The sequence below is a fragment of the Homo sapiens genome, chromosome 1, assembly GCF_000001405.40.
Source record: "Homo sapiens chromosome 1, GRCh38.p14 Primary Assembly".
Lineage (NCBI taxonomy): Eukaryota > Metazoa > Chordata > Mammalia > Primates > Hominidae > Homo > Homo sapiens.
In genome coordinates, this window is record NC_000001.11 from 157,224,679 (window position 1) to 157,242,149 (window position 17,471).

Consider the following 17,471-nt stretch of genomic DNA (forward strand, 5'->3'; position numbering starts at 1 on the left):
AAAGTACAATATATATTTGTGACACAGGACTCCTCTGTCCTTTGTAGTATCACACTCCCCATCTTCTCTACTGGTGGAGACAAAACATTCCTCTGGGTACTTTCAATGATCCTGTAATTCTATGGTCTTTTATGTCTCCTGGTTTCCTTTGGGGGCACCAGCTCACCAAATCTGGTTTTATCCCTGCAACCCAGCCAGGCAGGGGTCTCTCTTTATCATTAGGAGGTGCTAGGGGGTTCAAGCTGGGAAGTGTGTAACTATTGTTTGACAAAAACATGTCTCATTTGAATTTAGAGCTGGGTTTCTGCCACATGTCTTCTTTAGAGTCAGGGACCACCGTGGTATCATACTCCTGCTTTCTGGAAGAGAGCATCATTTATCAGGTGCCCTGCCTGCATTGGCCCCTCTCCCCAGGGTCTTTTCCTCTTATAAGAAGAGTAGAATAGTTTATCTACTCAGTTCTTTGACCTCTAAATCTAGAACTATTCTTCACTGTAACTCCCTTCTCATTTCCTGACTTTCATTTTTGAATTCCTTGGGTGGGAGTTGGCTCCAGGTGCCCTCTGCTACATGACACTCTTTGTAGTCACACAACAGGTTCTTCCTGCCCACCAAGACAAAACTAATTCACTGAAACCATGCTATTGCAGCAGAGACAGAGTTTTATTAATGTGAGGCAGGCCAGATGGGAGATGGAGTTATCACTCAAGTCAGTCTCTCTGAGGGCTTGGAGGTTAAGGTTTTTCAAGGATAGTTTGGTGGGTACGGGACTCAGGAATGAGTGCTACTGATTGGTTGGGGATGCAATCATAGGGGTGTGGAAAACCATCCTCATGTGCTGAGCCCAGCTCTTGGTTGGGGGCCACAAGACCAGTTGAGTCATGAGTCCAGGTGGAGTCAGTCAGTTGCCAAAATGCAAAGTCTGAAAAATATCTCAAAAGAGCAATCTTAGGTTCTACAATAGTGATGCCATCTATAGGAGTAATTGGAGAAGTTACAAATCTTGTGACCTCTGGAACAATGGCTGGTTGTTATTTAACTATGCCTATGTCTTAGCAGAATTCAAGCCCCCAGCATAATCCTAATCTTTTGGCCTCTCATTAATTTTACAAAAGCAGTTTAGTTTTGGGAAGGGCTATTATCATCCTTGCTTTAAGGTTAAACTATAAACTAAATCCTTCCAAAATTAGCTTGGCCAATGCCTAGGAATGACCAAGGACAGCTTGAAAGCTAGAAGCAAGAAGGAGTCAACTATGTCAGATTTCTCTTACTAATTTTGCAAAGATGGTTTTACCTTTCTTTCCTTAAATGGTTTGTTTCTTGCCTGAATCAAGCATGTGGGAATTTCTGACTCCCAGGATTGAGGCAGTGCATTGTTTTATCTGAATCCATTCCACATATACTAGGACTGCTGGGTACTAAAATCTGAGTGGTCACACCTGTGATAACTCCTTGACCCCACTAAACATGCATGAAGATCAGTAGACAATGTGTATGACAATACCTCTTACGCATGTGGTCTGGGCTTCTTCTCTGGCTAGAGGTGGAAGTTCTTTATTTCCCCACCTGAAGAACATTGCTTTGCAGAAATGTAACTGTAGGGGCTGAACATATATACATTGCCTTCAGATCCCTAAATCAGAACTGATGACTCCCATTCCAACCCCATCACTTGGTCTATTTGACAAATATTGTACCATCTCTTCATGTTTCTCAAATAGCTTCACCAAGACCGATAGAGACCCCTCTTGTGTAGTTCAGGCTTCTTTATAAAACTTCATTATCGATTCTTCTATAATGCTATGGTCTAGCTAGCAAGCCCCTTGTCCCCTGTGGCATCTCACTGAATACATCTCTCTAATCTCAACACCTGTATAGAGGCCTTTTCTTCTTTTCGGTTGATGTGTGGTCAGAAACCCAGCATATGAGTCTCTCTGACTATGGACGTTACCAAACACCTGTGAGACCCCTGCTAGGCATTGACTTCACAGAGAAGGAGGCATTTGTGGCTGTAAACCCAGATATGTTTTCTAATACTGGTCATTGTAGACACTTTCTTAGTTTACGTCACTTCGTCATTGGCACTGTGCTTCCTGCAAGCGTCTCTTGTTTGTGAACAAGTTTCCTTCAGCATAGCCCTGTGACTTTCCTGGCAGTTGTTCCCCCAGCAGAAACAGTCCAGTGTTCAGGAAATTCTGTTCTATCAAGTAAAGCAAGGAGGCCCAAGTAAGCGCAGTGTTGACCACAGACCTCCATTCCCCTTCCAGGAAAGTTTCCAGTTTCTCAAGAATTTGTGGTTCCATTGGGTAAACACCAATTTCCACCTTGCAGCTTCATGAATAATTTCTTAGAATTTACTCATTCTGCTGTGATCACATGACAATATTTCAAAATCAGAGAACTGAACATACTTTATTCAACATGTGTTAGCTTAATTTATAATTTTTTTATATGTAGACATATGATGGTGATTGCATCTCCATGTGTACCCTTTCCCCGGGTTCCACAAATGTTAGAGATGGTCTTGGCAGCAGGAGTAGGTGCACTGTTATTGTAAGCTGCCTGCTTATGCAACTCATTTGTGTTTTCAAGTCCTGCTTGAGCCTGTTCTTATATATATGTAACTTCCACTTGATGATAAAATGCTGTTGGACATACCTGATTATAGGGGTGCATGAATTAGAAAATACCCAGTTGAGGGTGGCTCAGGTTGCATAGTCATTTGGTGTGTCTCATAGTCAGTGTATTAGTCTTTGCACTGCTATAAAGAAATACCTGAGACTGGGTAATTTATAAAGAAAAGAGGTTTACTTGGCTCAGGATTCTGCAGGCAGTACAGGAAACATAGTGGCTTTTGCTTCTGGGGAGGCCTCTGGAAACTTACAATCATGGCGGAAGGTGAAGGAGAAGCAGGGATGTCTTACATGGCAGGATCAGGGCCAAGGGGTAGGGGGAGGTGCTACACACTTTGAAACAACCAGATCTCACAAGAACTCAATCACCATCATGAGGACAGCACTGAGAAGATAGTGCTAAACCGTTTATGAGAAAGTTCTCCCATGATTCAATCATCTCTCTCCAGGCCCCACCTCTAACACTGGTAATTACAATTTGACATGAGATTTGGACAGGGACACAGATCCAAACCATATCAGTCAGGTATAGCAAACCTAAAGCTATACCAGAAAAGAGTTATTTTCTTAAGATTATGTGGTTCTGCTTAACATTCAACGAACATCTGTTAGTTTTTTATTGTTGTTGTTATCTTAGTCTGCCATACCTTCAAGGAGAAATCAGACGGCTCCAGGTCACCTCAAGCACATTTAGGTCTGCAAGGCCATAAGGGCCAATGGCAGAGATGCTTACATTGTAGCCCGAACGAGCAGGAGAATCTTCTCTTGCTTTGGGCCCATTCAAAGTTGATTGTCTTATAGCTAGTGAATGTGCTGACATAATACACCTAGTTGCGATGTATATTGTCTCCAAGTACAAGAAGACCTACGAAGTATGATGTCTCTTTCTTAATGACAGTGCATTCAAGGTGAAGCAAGATTGCATTTATCTTTGAGGGAATGTGCTGATATTCTCCAAATGACTGGACTCCTAGAAACATTACTAAGGTGTCAGGCCCCCTAACTTTCATGAGATTTATCTTGGTACTTTTGTGCCTCTAGCGTATCTGCTATTGGCTTCTCACTACATCATCAGATCATCATAATGTAATCCCTATGGTAGATCAGCATGATGGCAAAGGGAATGGGATACAATGAAGCTGTCTGTTATATTTCTCCCTTCTGGGTATAATACCTTCATAATCTATTACCATTAGTATTTTGCAGATCTTTGCTAAATAAATTAACAAAAACTGGCAAGTCTTTTGGTGTGAAAGCCTACTCCTCTGAAGTCTGACTATCTTATTGACCCAGGGGATATGCAGTGACCTAGTTTATAGGCCTGGAGGAATAAGGAGTAAGAGGTTGAGGCATAAGGAAAATTGGTATCTTCTTTCAGGAAAGGAGGATCCTAGGTGAGTGAGGTTATTACAGACTGGTAAGGCAGAACTAGTTTTCCAGATGAGAGTAGGGGCCATGTCTGCAGGTAAGGGAAGCCTTAATCCTCAGGGTTCTATTCTTTCTTCATCAATGTGCTGCCTTTTAATAGAAAAAAATTCAGAAGGCTGAGGATTCAACCTGCTTTGAAATCCAACAAGCCACAGGACCAGAATCTGTATCTAATTTTTGACTGTCCAGGCTTCCAGCCCCTGCAGCCTCCCCCTGGGAATTCTGGTGAGTGAAACTTTTCTACCTCACTGAGCACAGGAGAGTCAGAGATGGAGGGGAATAAGAACTGAATAAGCGAAAACAAAAAATGTGCTTTTCAGTAATTTTTCTTAAGCCCACGTAAACCAGTTGAAACTATTCCAACATTTTCCATGAAATAAAGCACACATTTATTACCAGATAGTATACATAATAATTGCTTCTGCTTTCATTTCCTGTGGGAGAAGAATAATCCATCATCTTTTGTGTCGTGTCCATAGGATACAAAAACGGTACGTGGCACATTGCAATATAGTGTGATGAGAAGGAGTGGAGAACATAAAAGAAGCATCTCCCGTGGACTGGGGACAGGGAGAGGGATGAGAATAGGGGAACCTGCTTCAGATGGCACAAAATGGGAGGGAAGCTGAGGCTTAGAGAGCGCTGCTTAAATTTCCTCACCAGTAAGTGCTAGAATCACTCTTTTTTCTTCCTCCTTAAGATTGTGACAATAAAATAAAACTGCTGCATGTAAGGTGCTTAAAATGGATCTTACACATTGCAGGGATTATCGTCTTCTCAAGGAGGTCGGGAGAGGAAGAAGCCAAAGACAAGGTCCAGGTTCCTGGTTGGGGCCATTGCCTGAGAATGGGAACACAGAAATAGGCTAGAAGATGAAGATAAACGCAGCATTTGACACACCGAGTTTGAGGCACCAGTGGAGATGTCTAGTAGAGAGCTGAATGCAGAATCTGATGCTAGGCAGAGGATGGGGGTTGGAGATACAGACTTGGGCATTAGCAGCGTGGGGATGATCATTGAAGGCAGAAAAGTGGATGTCCCAGTGAGAAGATTAAAAAAGGCTGGGCACAGTGGGTCACAATTGCATTCATAGCACTGTGGGACACTGAGGTGGGAGGGTCATTTTAGCCCAGGAGTTAGAGACCAACCCGGGCAACATAGCAAGACCCTGTCTCTACAAAATTAAAAATTAAAAAACTATCCGAGCTTGGTGGCACATACCTAGCTATAGTCCCTGTTACTCGGGAGGCTGAGGCAGGAGGATCACTTGAGCCTGGGTGTTTGAGTCTGTAGTGAGCTATGATCATACCACTGAACTTCAGCCTGAGTGCCAGAGCAAGACCCTCTGTCTGAGGGACAGAGAGAGAGAGAGAGAAAGAGAGAAGGGTAGAGAGAGAGAGAGAGAGAGAGAGAGAGAGAGAGAGAAACGGGCTTATGATAGGCCCTTAGAAGTACCATTCAGGGGAAGGGTGAAGGTGGAGAAAGAGGAGGCAGCAGAAGAGCCTGAGGAGAACAGCAGGAGGAAGGGGATCCAGGAGAGAGTGATGTCAGGGAAACTGAGGAAGAGTTCTCAAGAAGAAGAAAAAGAAAGGGGTAAACAGTGCCAAATCCTGGGTGGTTGCTGGTCAACTGGTTGTGTTCTGAAGTGTGCTGGTAGAGGAAGGCCAAGGAGTGAGTGTCTTGGAGCAAGTGTAGAGGCATTGCTGTGATGTGGAAGATCAAGAAACAGGATGATAGTTAAAGTGTGAGGTTATGGAGATGCTACAACCTTCGGAGGGTTTCTTCCTGCCTGCTGCATACAGATAGACCACAGTATTGTAGTAAAGAAAGAGTTTAATAGACATAAGGCCAGACATGCCACATGGGAGATGGAGTTTGTACTCAAATAATCTAATTCAAAGCTCATAGGTTAGGGGTTTTTCAAAGGCAGTTTGGGTGAAGGGTTGGTGGTGGCCAGGTAACAGGTGCTTGCTCCTGATTGGTTGGGACAAAGATAAAATCACAGGGGGTGGAAGCTGTCCTTCTGAGAGCTGAATTGCTTATGGGTGGGGCCATAAGAGCAGGGTTGGCAGTCCAGATGGAGCCGTGGGTGTCAGACACGCAAAAAACCTGGAAAGATATCTCGAAAGGTCAATCTACAATACTGGTGTTATTTGCAGGAGTAATTGGGAAAGCTGCATATCTTATAACCTCTGGAATCATTTATGCCTGCACCTTAGCAGGACTCAGGGTCCTCTCCTCTCCTCAGCCTCATGGTCTTGCATTAGCTTTACAAAAGCAGTGGAGTTTTGGGCAAGGCCTATTATCATTCCTAGCTTCCCTGCAAGCCCCATTGAATGCAGACCAACATATTTTTGTAAACTTCCTTAAAATATTGTTTTTTTTTTTGTTTTTTTTTTTGTTTTTGTTTTTTGCTCCTGAGCTATCATTAGTGTTAGAGTATTTTATGTGTGGCCCAAGATAATTCTTCTTCCAAAGTGACCCAGGGAAGCCAGAAGATTGGAAATCCCTGACTGTAGCCAAAAATGTCTTCAAAAGTTAGCTCAGCCCAATAGCGTAGGAATAGTTAAGGGAAAGGCAAGTTTTGCAGGGGAGTAGAGAGGAGAGTTAGTTCACCTTACTGTTATGATTTTCTCAGTGATTTAATTTTTGCAAGGGTGGGTTCAGGTTTTGCTGAGAATATGGAGAGGTTTGGGAGAATGTGAGAGGGAATCAGTAGAATGATGAAAATGTGGGCTCTGGATTCAAACTACTTGCATTTAAATCCTGGTTCTGATATTTCCCAGCTGTGTGAACTTGAACAAATGACTTGGTGTTCTTATGTCTCCTTTTTCTATTTTCTAAATGGGGATAATGAAACCTATTTCATAGAGTGTTTATGAGGATTAAATGAGTTAAAACCTTCAGAATGCTTAGAAGAGTCATGGCACATAAGAAGCATTCAATAAGCACTATTATTAATTTATATTATCTTTCAATAGCTGTCATGCACATAACATTGCTGAGTGGTGTTAAAGTTTGCTTGGGATTGGCTGCATGAATTTATAACGGTGTCACCTGAGAGGCTGATGATTGTGTCAGGCAGCATGAGTGTTGTGCAGAGATGGACACTTGGATCAACCCCAGATTTATAATTTTCCAGGAGCTTCCAAACCCTTAGAATTTTCTGAGGAACAGGAATGTCTTTATTATTCACACGAACCCCTTTTGACCATATCTGAGTGTACACTAATGCGTTGACTCTTGGCAGGTCCCTGCAGAGCTTCAGGATAGTGACTGGTTGCTTGAGGAACCGTGCATGTGATTAGAGAGTTGGCAATTTCAACTCCACCCTTATCCCAACCTCTGGGGAGGAGAGAGAGACTAGAGATGGAGCTCTCCTTGTTAGCAGTGGCAAATTTGTATAGGTCTGCAGCAACCTCAGTTCTTGCCTCCTCAGAAGAAAGAATTTGACCACAGGGCATAAGGCAGAGTTAAAGACTATGGCAAATTTTAGAGTAGGAGGAAAAGTTTATTAAAAACTTTAGAGCAGGAATGAAAGGAAGTAAAGTACACTTGGAAAAGGGCCAAGCAGGTGACTTAAGAGATCCAAGTTCCCAGTTTGATCTTTGACTCAGGGTTTTATATGTTGGCATGCTTCTGGGTTCTTGCATTCCTTCTCCCGTGATTCTTCTCTTGGGATGGGTTTTCCACATGCCCAGTAGCCTGCCAGAATTTGGGAGAGGCTGCATGCACAGTGTGTTTACTGGAGTTGTACACATGCTCACTTGAGGCATTCTTTCCTTACCAGTTCAAATGTTCCTAGAAGGTCACATACCAGTTAAACTCCACCATTTTGCCTCTTAATGCACATGCTTAAGCCCACTTGCCCAACTCCTGTGATCTTATTGGGAAGCTGCTTATCACCATTTTAAAGTTTTTCCCATCTATTGGGAGACTGTCTTTTTTTGGTGCTGGCTGTGACCAATTATTATTTTAGAGACACAACGTAACACCCGCCTGACCATCATTGATGGTCACCTGACATTCCTAGTTAGGCGAGTCCTCTCCTGCCCTGCTTCTGTCTGCCTGACTACCTACTGTAACATCATGAGTACTCATGAGCAGATAGGTTCTTTTCCGCAGGGGCCAAATTTGGAAACCCTTGAGGAGCTTTTGGAACCCATGACCACTTGGATCCCTTTGGAAATGCCCTATGAACTACTCTATGGTTCAATAAAAATCTGTTTGGAGGCTAGGTGCAATGACTCATGCCTTTAATGCCAGCACTTTGGGAGGCCAAGGAGAGCAATTGACTTGGGCCCAGGAGTTTGAGTCCAGCCTAGGCAATATGGCAAAATCTCATCTCTACACAAAAATACAAAAATTAGCCAGGTGTGGTGGTGTACACCTGTGGTCCCAGCTACTCAGGAGGCTGAGATGGAAGGACTGTTTGAGCCCAAGATGCAGAGGTTGCAGCAAGCAGAGATTGAACCACTATACTCCAGCCTGGGTGACAGAGTGAGATTCTGTCTCAAAAAAAAGAAAAAGAAAAAAAAAAAAAGATCTGCTTGGTTAATGAATGGCTTGCTTAACGGTTTCAAGATGAGAAGGTGCATCCTGTTTGGGAGGGTGCCACTTTTGTTGAAGAAGGTAAAAACAAATCAGCTCAGTGGTATCTGTAGTGTGTGCCATGTTGGGTGGCATGAATGTAGAACACTATGTGCAGTTTGCCACTGTAATTCAGAAACAGTATTCTAAGCTCCTCAATTGACTGAAGGGACCCTTCCCACCCCTACTTGACCAAGGGGATTCCAAAGAAACCTGCAAAACTAGGTCAGGCCCTGAGGGGAAGGGAGGTTGGATACATCTCATTATACAGCCTGCTTCTAGTGTTTTGACACAACTGACCAGCATTCACATTAAAATAGAGATCATAAAACTGACAAAACAGACTTTTTATAGCAATAAGATACCAAATTCCAACCTGACCCTGGTATAGCCTCACATGACAGATAGCCGGGCCTGAAGAAAATCAGTCTTTTGCCCCAGTACATACTTTGAAATGGCCCTGCAAAGTTTTCTCTTGTGAGGGAAATTTGCATTCTGTAGAGAATCTCCTTTCTTTTGTAGGTCTTTTCCCAATCTAGGCGAGGTTTAACTAAGAGTACGACACCTTTTAAGGTCCAAAAAGTGGCATTTACCATCTACTCTCTCTGAAGCCTAATACTTAGAGGTTTCATCTACATACCAAGAATCTTGGCTTCCACAACCCCTCCTTACCTTAACTCAAGCATTTCTTTTTGCTGACTTCAACTCTCGAGTCAAGACTTAACTTTTGCAACTAATTGCCGGTCAGAAATCCACCTATGACCTATAAGCTCCCCCACTTTGAGATGTTCCATCTATTCAGGCCAAACCAATATACACCTTACATGTATTGATTTATGTCTTTGCCTGTAACTTCTGTCTCCCTCTAAATATTTTACAGAGTTTGGCTTTTTTTTCACAACAGCAACCTGGGTCTCCATGACCGGAGTTACTATTCGGGCTCCATCATGTAGGCCTGATTAATTGCCCACATGTTTAACTTCAGCCATTCTGGAAGTCATCTGATAGCAGGTGAACCAAAGTTTCCACCCTAAATCACATTGGTGGTCTTTTGGCATGGCCAGACTATCTGGTGTGGCTAGCACCCACCCTAAATCATATTATTTGGTGATCCAGTGATCCAAGGCCTCCAGTAAATCAAAGTAACTCCTATCAGGCATGACATTCCAAGGAATTAAAGATTACCTCCCAGCCAAGGGCAAAACCAGACTTTACTTTGAGCAAGGTTAAATTCTTTTTGCATACACACCTGGAACCAATTTTTCTCCCAGTGTAAACCAAAAGTAAAATACAAAGCCCTCCACTGAAACCGCCTTTGCAAAAATTATAACTGAGGAAATTATGTCAGTAAAAGAGATCAGACCTAACCAACCCCATCTTCCTTCTAACCTCTAAACTGTCTTTGTTCATTCCTGGGTATAGGCCTAACCAGCCTTAGGAAGGAATTCAGTTTATAGTTTAAACTGAAACAAAATGGATAATAGCCCTTTCCTGAAAATCCCCTTTTTGCCTGGGGACTGGGGACCTGTCTGCCTTTGTAGGACTAACAAATTAGCTACAAGATTAGTTATCAAGGTTTAGAGGCCATGCAGCCTCTGGCTGCAAGAGTCTGAAGCTCCCCAAATTGCTCCTGGGAATAACATTGCTGTTGTAAAACCTAAGATCAGTGCTTGAGATATTTTGCAGACCCTGCATTCCGATGCAGCAGATGACACCACCCAGACTGATAATCTGGCTCAACCAGTTCTGCAATCCTACCCAGGAACAGAAGTCAGCAAGAAGAACTCACTTTGACTTCCTATGATTTTATCTTCAACCCAACCAATCAGCACTCCCCACTTTCTGAGCCCACAACTGCCAAATTATCCTTAAAAACTCTGATCCCCGAATGCTTGGGGAGACTGATTTGTGTAATAATAAAATTCTGGCCTCTTGCACAGCCGGCTCTGTGTGAATTACTCTTTTGCCAATGCAATTCTCCTGTGTTGATCAACTGGCTCTGTGTAGGCAGCGGGCAAGGTGAACCCATTGGGTGGTTACACCAACCCAAACCATCTGAATGGACTTCCTTCTCTAGGCCAGGGCACTCCAAATTTGACCTCAAAGACTGGTTCAGTTCATGACAGGAAGTAGGGGTCGGACAGGCCTCATTATGCCCGCCTTTGTTTTGGAATTCAGAAAAAGCCTATCAGCATTTAACATTCACGTAGTAAGTCTGATAAGAAACATTTACAATCTCTTCTCTCTAAAGCCTGCTACCTGGAATTTCATCTGCATGATAAAACTTTGGTCTCCACAACCTCTTATCCTAACCCAGACATTCCTTTCTATTGATAATAACTCTTTCAACCAATTGCCAATCAGAAAATTGCCTAATCTATCTACAACCTGGAAGTCCCTGCTTTGAGTTGTCCTGCCTTTTAAAATCAAACCAATGTATATCTTAAATGTATTTGATTGATGTCTAATGTCTCTCCAAGATGTATAAAATGAAGCTGCGCCCTGGCCACTTTGGACACATGTTCTCAGGGTCTCCCAAGAGCTATGTCACTCATATTTGGCTCAGAATAAATCTCCTCAAATATTTTACTGAGTTTGATTCTTTTCGTTGACACCAGTCATTGCTGAGAGGCACCAAATGCATATTGGGGTATATTTTCAATACTCAGCTGAGTAGTTGACAAATCTTCCTTAGTCTGCACCTCCTGCCTGCACAGAGCCTCAGTTTCAGCTATGGTGAGAGTGTAGGGCTTTTTGAAGCCTTTACTAAGCATCAACACAGTACGTGCGATGCACACAGTAAAGGGATGTGCGTGGTCTTCTAGATTCTGAGAAATATGTGAGAGCTTTTCAAAGCCCAAGTGGACAACTCATTCAAAGCTTTTCCTTTCAAGCTTTTTGGCTACTCTGTTGTTTGCATTTATTGTTATCCATTGCAGTACACAGCCACAAAGTTAAACAATTACTAATAGTTGCTTTCAACAAATGTCTTCTAACCAAAGGGCTTTTTGTAGTGGGAGAGCTTCAAGATACATCGAATACTGACATCATTGCAAGTAGGGTCTTCCTGGGAACCACTAAGAGATCAAAGAATGACATTTCTTTGGGAATAAACCTTTAAAAGAGCTTCAACTCTTTTCTGCTCCTTTGAGTAGCTACTAGACTGCTGTTTTTCACCATGAATGCACATTGATACATTTCAAGGCTACAGTGGAGTTGGAGTGTGGGATGTGGGACTGGAGAAAGTTATAAAACACAAAGCTCTCTGTTCTTATTGAGATTAGAACTTTTCTTGAATTGCTGCAAGTTGTTGGATAATTTTCAGAATTCTGAAAAAGTTCCCTCCAAAGTTAGCAAGTTTTCTCATTGCTTTACAAAAGAGAGGGTTTTTTTTTTTAAATAGGAGCCAACTTTACTGAAAAACAATCAAAGATCTCCAGCAACCAAATGATGATCCAAACAAGAAAAAGCCACATTCAAATTAATAGGAAATTCCATTGCAATTTTTTATGAACTCACCCCAACGCCTGATAGGTATGCTCTTGGTCTTGGGAAGGAGGCATCCCAATTCTCAATTCTCTATCTCAAGTTGAACTCGAGAGAGAGAACTCGAGAGAGGCAACTTGAGAGAGAGCAGAGCACACCTTATTCACACTGTTCTAATCTGTCCAGGTGCTGCCTAGTGGAGGAATCTCAGGTAGGGAGAAGGGAAACTTACCTGCAGAATTCTGGAGCAATAGATTACAGGTGGAGAATACCTTAGAACTTCTAAATTAGCATCCCGGTTGCCAACTCTTTCCTTCAACTGAGAGGGAGCACAGCACACCTTGTTCACAAGGTTCTAACTGGATAGAGGCTGCCTGAAGGATTAGTCTTTGTTTTGACTAACTCAGATCTTAGGTAGGGAAAAGCACTCAGAAGATAGACTTTTTGGGGCTCTTTACTCCATCATTTCTAATACATATGTTGAATTATAAAGCTTTTAATATTAAAGCTAAAGTTATTCAGTATTTGTATACCCCTCCTTTAATAATCCATTGCAACCACCCATTATTTATTTTCTGAAATTTTTGCTCTAACATATTTTAACCTAAATATCAGTATTAGTATTAGTACTATTTATCAGCAAATAGGCAGTTGGGTCTAGAGGAGGAGAGAAGGAAGAACAGATATTTAGGGACTATCCTGAGAAAGAGTTTTAATTGTAAGCCTGCTGAATGAGGAGACAGGAGCAAACCTCAAATATACCTCCCCAAAAAGTTAAGGGCTTTGGAATGGTCCAAGGCATGGGGATCATTGATTGCTCTCAGTGCAGAGTGAAGCCATGGGATGCAGAGATGAAGAAACTGCATTCTCATGCTGATTTAGTGTCTCTGCGTTTTTTTGAAACAGAGTCTTACTCTTTGCCCAGGCTGGACTGCAGAGGCGCGATCTCAACTCACTGCAACTTCTGCCCACTGGGTTCAAGTGATTCTCCTGCCTCAGCCTCCCAGGTAGCTGGGATTACAGGAGCCCTCCACTACACCCGGCTAATTTTTGTATTTTTTGTAGAGATGGGGTTTTGCCATGATGGCCAGGCTGGTCTTAAACTCCTGAAATCAAGAGATCTGCTTGCCTTGGCCTTCTGAAGTGCTGGGATTACAGGCGTGGGCCATGGTACCCAGCTTCTTTGGGAATCTTAAAACTGATTGGTGTCAGCTGGAAATCAGGATCTGAAAAAGTCTTAATTAATTATTAATGAAAGCCTTATGATTCTAACACCAGTGATTCTATCTATAGGAACAATAAGGATGCAAATAGGATCTAGGGCTACTTGAATTTCAGTTACAAGGAAGTGGGTCAAAGTGCACCTGATTAATGCTTCACTGTGACTATATTTCTGCCCAGAACCCCACACATCATTCTTATTAACGCTGTGAGGATGGTTTCATTGACAGCTGTGCACCTTGTCACTTACCATAGGTGTGTACTGGAGTGAGTTACTTAATCTCTCCGGACATCTAGGATGCTGTACCACCTAGAAGGTGCGTGTAATGCTTAGACAACAGGGTTATTTTGAGAATGATTTGATGTATGTTGTGGATTAATTAAAATAATGCATATAAAGCCACAGGATATAGCAAATATTCAGTAATTACATTCTTCATGTACCCTAGTATTCATCTGGCACTTCTTATGGTTCGGGTTTCAAATAAAATAAATGTGACCACCCATCCCATATTACAGAGACATCCAGAGCCTTTCCCAGAATTTCTCTGAATTCCAGGGATTTAGGTTCTCAGGGTCACTAAGTCCTGCAGACCTCTTATTCTTCCTAGACTCAATCACATTTGATCAACATTTCTCTGCTATGTGGCACTTTCCCCCGCCACACACACAGTCTGCTGCTACAGATCCAGATCTGTCTTCCTTTAATTCCCCAAAGCATTACCAGCAAGCACCGTTAGTGATGGCAGAGATCCCAGTTATCTGGAGTTAGCAGTGGGGTAGCAACTTCAGTCCTTGCCTCCTCAGAAGAAAGAATTTGACTGGGTGGTATAAAGCAGAAAAAGAGACTGAAGCAAGTATCCGAGTAGGAGTGGAAGTTTATTGAAAAAGGCTTTAGAACAGGAAAGAAAGGAAAATTCACTTGGAAGAGACGCAAGTGGGTGCCTGAAGTTCCAAGAGAGAAAATGGGAGCAAAAAGGGGCCTTTAACCTTGATCCTGGGACTTTATAGGCTTGCCTCTTTCCCATGACTCTTCCCCTAGGGTGGGCTTTCTGCATGGGCAGTGCTCTCCTTACCCTTTGCAACTGAGCACACACAGTGTGTTTAGGGAGTTACATGCATGCACGTCTGAGGCTTTCTTCCTTTTTTTGGTAGATTGTACCTGGGATATCATCCTGCCCTCATTTTTTCTCTTCACAAGCATGCCCAGGAAGTTGCTTCTCCCTGGGGCCTGCATTCAATGAACAGTTTGAATGTTAACAGGTGTGGACCATCAGGAGATTGTCTCTCCCTGGCTACCGAATTATCATTTTTAGAGAGACAGTGTGATAATTGTGGAATCATCACCTGACATTCCTAGCTGGTCAGAGGAGAGCCCTCTCCTGCCTGCTCATGCCTCTCTAACTACCTGTAACAGCACCACGAAGTTATGGAAGTAAACTCTTACCAAAGGACTTGTGGTTGGTGTGTGTGAAAGTGCACGTGATATGCCTGAGAAAGGAAAAAACAAAAAACAAAAAACTTTTATCTGAGGAATGCCAGTCCTTTTAAAGTATCAGGCACAGAGAAACATTAAAATAAGACAGCATTCATGCCCTTCTCTCCCCCTTGAGCTATGTATTCATCTCTTGAAACTGCTTGTTATTGGGACAAGTAGCTATAAATTAACCTAACTATGCCACACCAGACACTATAACTCATACCTTACAGCTAAACAGTGTATAACCAATCACTGATCAATGTTACTTCTGTAAACCAAGCAGAATTCCTGACAAGCAACTTTGTATCAGCCCATCCTTGTCCCCTGCTTTGCCTTTAAAAAGCTGCTTGTAACAAAGGGTGAACAGAGCACACGTCTAAGGTTACTTGGGTCTGAGTCTTCCAGGCAACTGTCCTCACTTTGGCTCAAGTAAAGGCTTTCAATAATATGTTGTGCCTCTGCCTCCTCTTTTTAGGTTGACATGCCTCAGCACAGAATGGAAGGGATGCTGAAAAACTGATTAGTCTTCTGGAGTTTTTTTTTTTTTGTCAGTTCCTGGTCTTTTGCCAGTGTGGAGTGTATATTGGGGTTGACTCTCTCTTCCTGTTTCCAGACTGTGCTACATTGCCAGTTCCTTCTCTCCATGCTGTTCCTTCCTACTATCACAGAATGGTTTCCATTTCAAACAGTTCCCCAAAAAAGAGACCTCTCAGGAGAGGTGCAGTGACATGTGTGGGACTGGCCCCATAACACTTGAGGGTGACCAATGGGTGAGCTGCTCAGAGTTTGCTCCAATAGAAAAAGTTTGTGGCCAGGATGCACAAATGGCCTGTGGAAGATATTTACCTATTAGTAGGCAGGATAGGATGGAAATTAAGCCAGTATTAAACGTTATTTCTTCTAAGATGTTGCAGAGCAGTTTGGGGGAGAGCACAGACTGGACTCCAGGTGACCTACATGAAGTCACACAGTGAGATGGGCTAGCAGCTGTGAGACTGCAGGGTGAGCCTCAAGCTTGTCCTTAGAAGCCAGATCCTGCCCCTTGACTAGCTGTGTGACCTTTTACACATTGCATAACCTCTCTGTGTCTCAAGCCGCATATCCCTAAAATGAGTTTGTAAGTAGTGGTCTGAGTGTGTGGGAGTGGAGCTAAGCCTCCAGGACGATAGACTGTAGGACTTTGGATACTGGTTCCCAGCAAAAGATAAATGCCAATATTTGCATTGGGTATGGGGGGAGTGAACACTTCCCACAAAGGCCTTTGTTCTTTTGCCCACAGCTTGTTACTTAGGCAACTGACAATTGAAGTTTGTGGAAAACCAGAAAGGAAATTAATCATTAATTGGGGTAGGGACAAAGGAAAACCACTAAAAACAGGAGGGGCCTAGCTGAGCCTTGCTATAAGAGTATGACTTTTGTGCCTGACCATAGGCTGACACTGGTGACCAGGGCTACCTGGGGCAGAGCTGTGAACACAGGGAAGCTGGCAAGCAGGGGGAGGTGTGTGCGAGAACACCAACGGGCTGCGTGCGGAGAGGGGCTCTTCAGTGCAGTGCCAGGAACACTACAGAGTGAGGTTCTTTCCACATTTATTCTACAGTTACCTACTGAGTATACACTGCAGGTGCTGGAATAAGCTGAAAGAGCTTTCTTTAAAATCGTGGGCTGTCACAACAGAACTAACTAGCCAGAGGTCAAACAAGAATTAACTTGTGTAAGCCAAAAATAAAATTCTAAACCACCAAATGACTAAATAGACCCCCACCCCCCAGCCAAGGGGATTCCAAAAAAACCTGAAAAACTAGCTTAGGCCATGATAGGAAGTGGGGGGTCAGATATGCCTCATTGTACTCCTCTCCATTGAGAATTCAGGCACAACTAGCCAGCATTAACATTAAAACAGATCTTAAGAGTGACAAAACTGACTCTTTGTAGCAATAAGAAACATCACAAAATGACGGACAGCAGGCCCTGAAAGAAAAATAGCTTACCCTGAAATATATTTCTTTGACGTAGTTTGAAATGGCCCTGCAATGCTGTTCCTTGTGGGGCAAATTTACATTCTGTAGAGAACCCCCTTCCCTTTCCAGGTGCTTTGCTGATCCTGAAGACATTAGCTGAGAGTCTAGCACCTTTTGAACGTCTGAATAGGAAACATTTGCCATCTATTGCCTCTAAGGGTGGCCACCTATGAGACTTCCTCAACATAATAAGAACCTTGGTCTCCAAAACCCCTTTTCTTTTTTTTTTTTAATTTTATTATTACTATACTTGAAGTTTTAGGGTACATGTGCACAACGTGCAGGTTTGTTACATATGTATACATGTGCCTTGTTGGTGTGCTGCACCCATTAACTCGTCATTTAGCATTAGGTATATCTCTTAATGCTATCCCTCCTTCCTCCCCCTACCCAACAGCAGTCCCCGGTGTGTGATGTTCCCCTTCCTGTGTCCATGTGTTCTCATTGTTCAATTCCCACCTATGAGTGAGAACATGTGGTGTTTGGTTTTTTGTCCTTGCCATAGTTTGCTGAGAATGATGGTTTCCAGTTTCATCCATGTCCCTACAAAGGACATGAACTCATCATTTTTTATGGCTGTATAGTATTCCATGGTGTATATGTGCCACATTT

The 17,471-nt window shown here is 42.9% G+C and overlaps 1 long non-coding RNA gene across 1 annotated transcript in view; it reads right to left on the bottom strand.

The window, feature by feature from the left end:
• Nucleotides 1-644: 644 nt before the first annotated feature.
• Nucleotides 645-17,471, bottom strand: part of LOC105371456 (uncharacterized) — a 54,091-nt gene continuing 37,264 nt past the window's right edge. The window contains exons 3-4 of the long non-coding RNA XR_922183.3: nucleotides 1,505-1,604; nucleotides 645-922 (exon numbers count right to left, since the gene is read on the bottom strand). This is a non-coding gene — a long non-coding RNA (uncharacterized LOC105371456). The remainder of the gene's footprint in view (nucleotides 923-1,504; nucleotides 1,605-17,471) is intronic.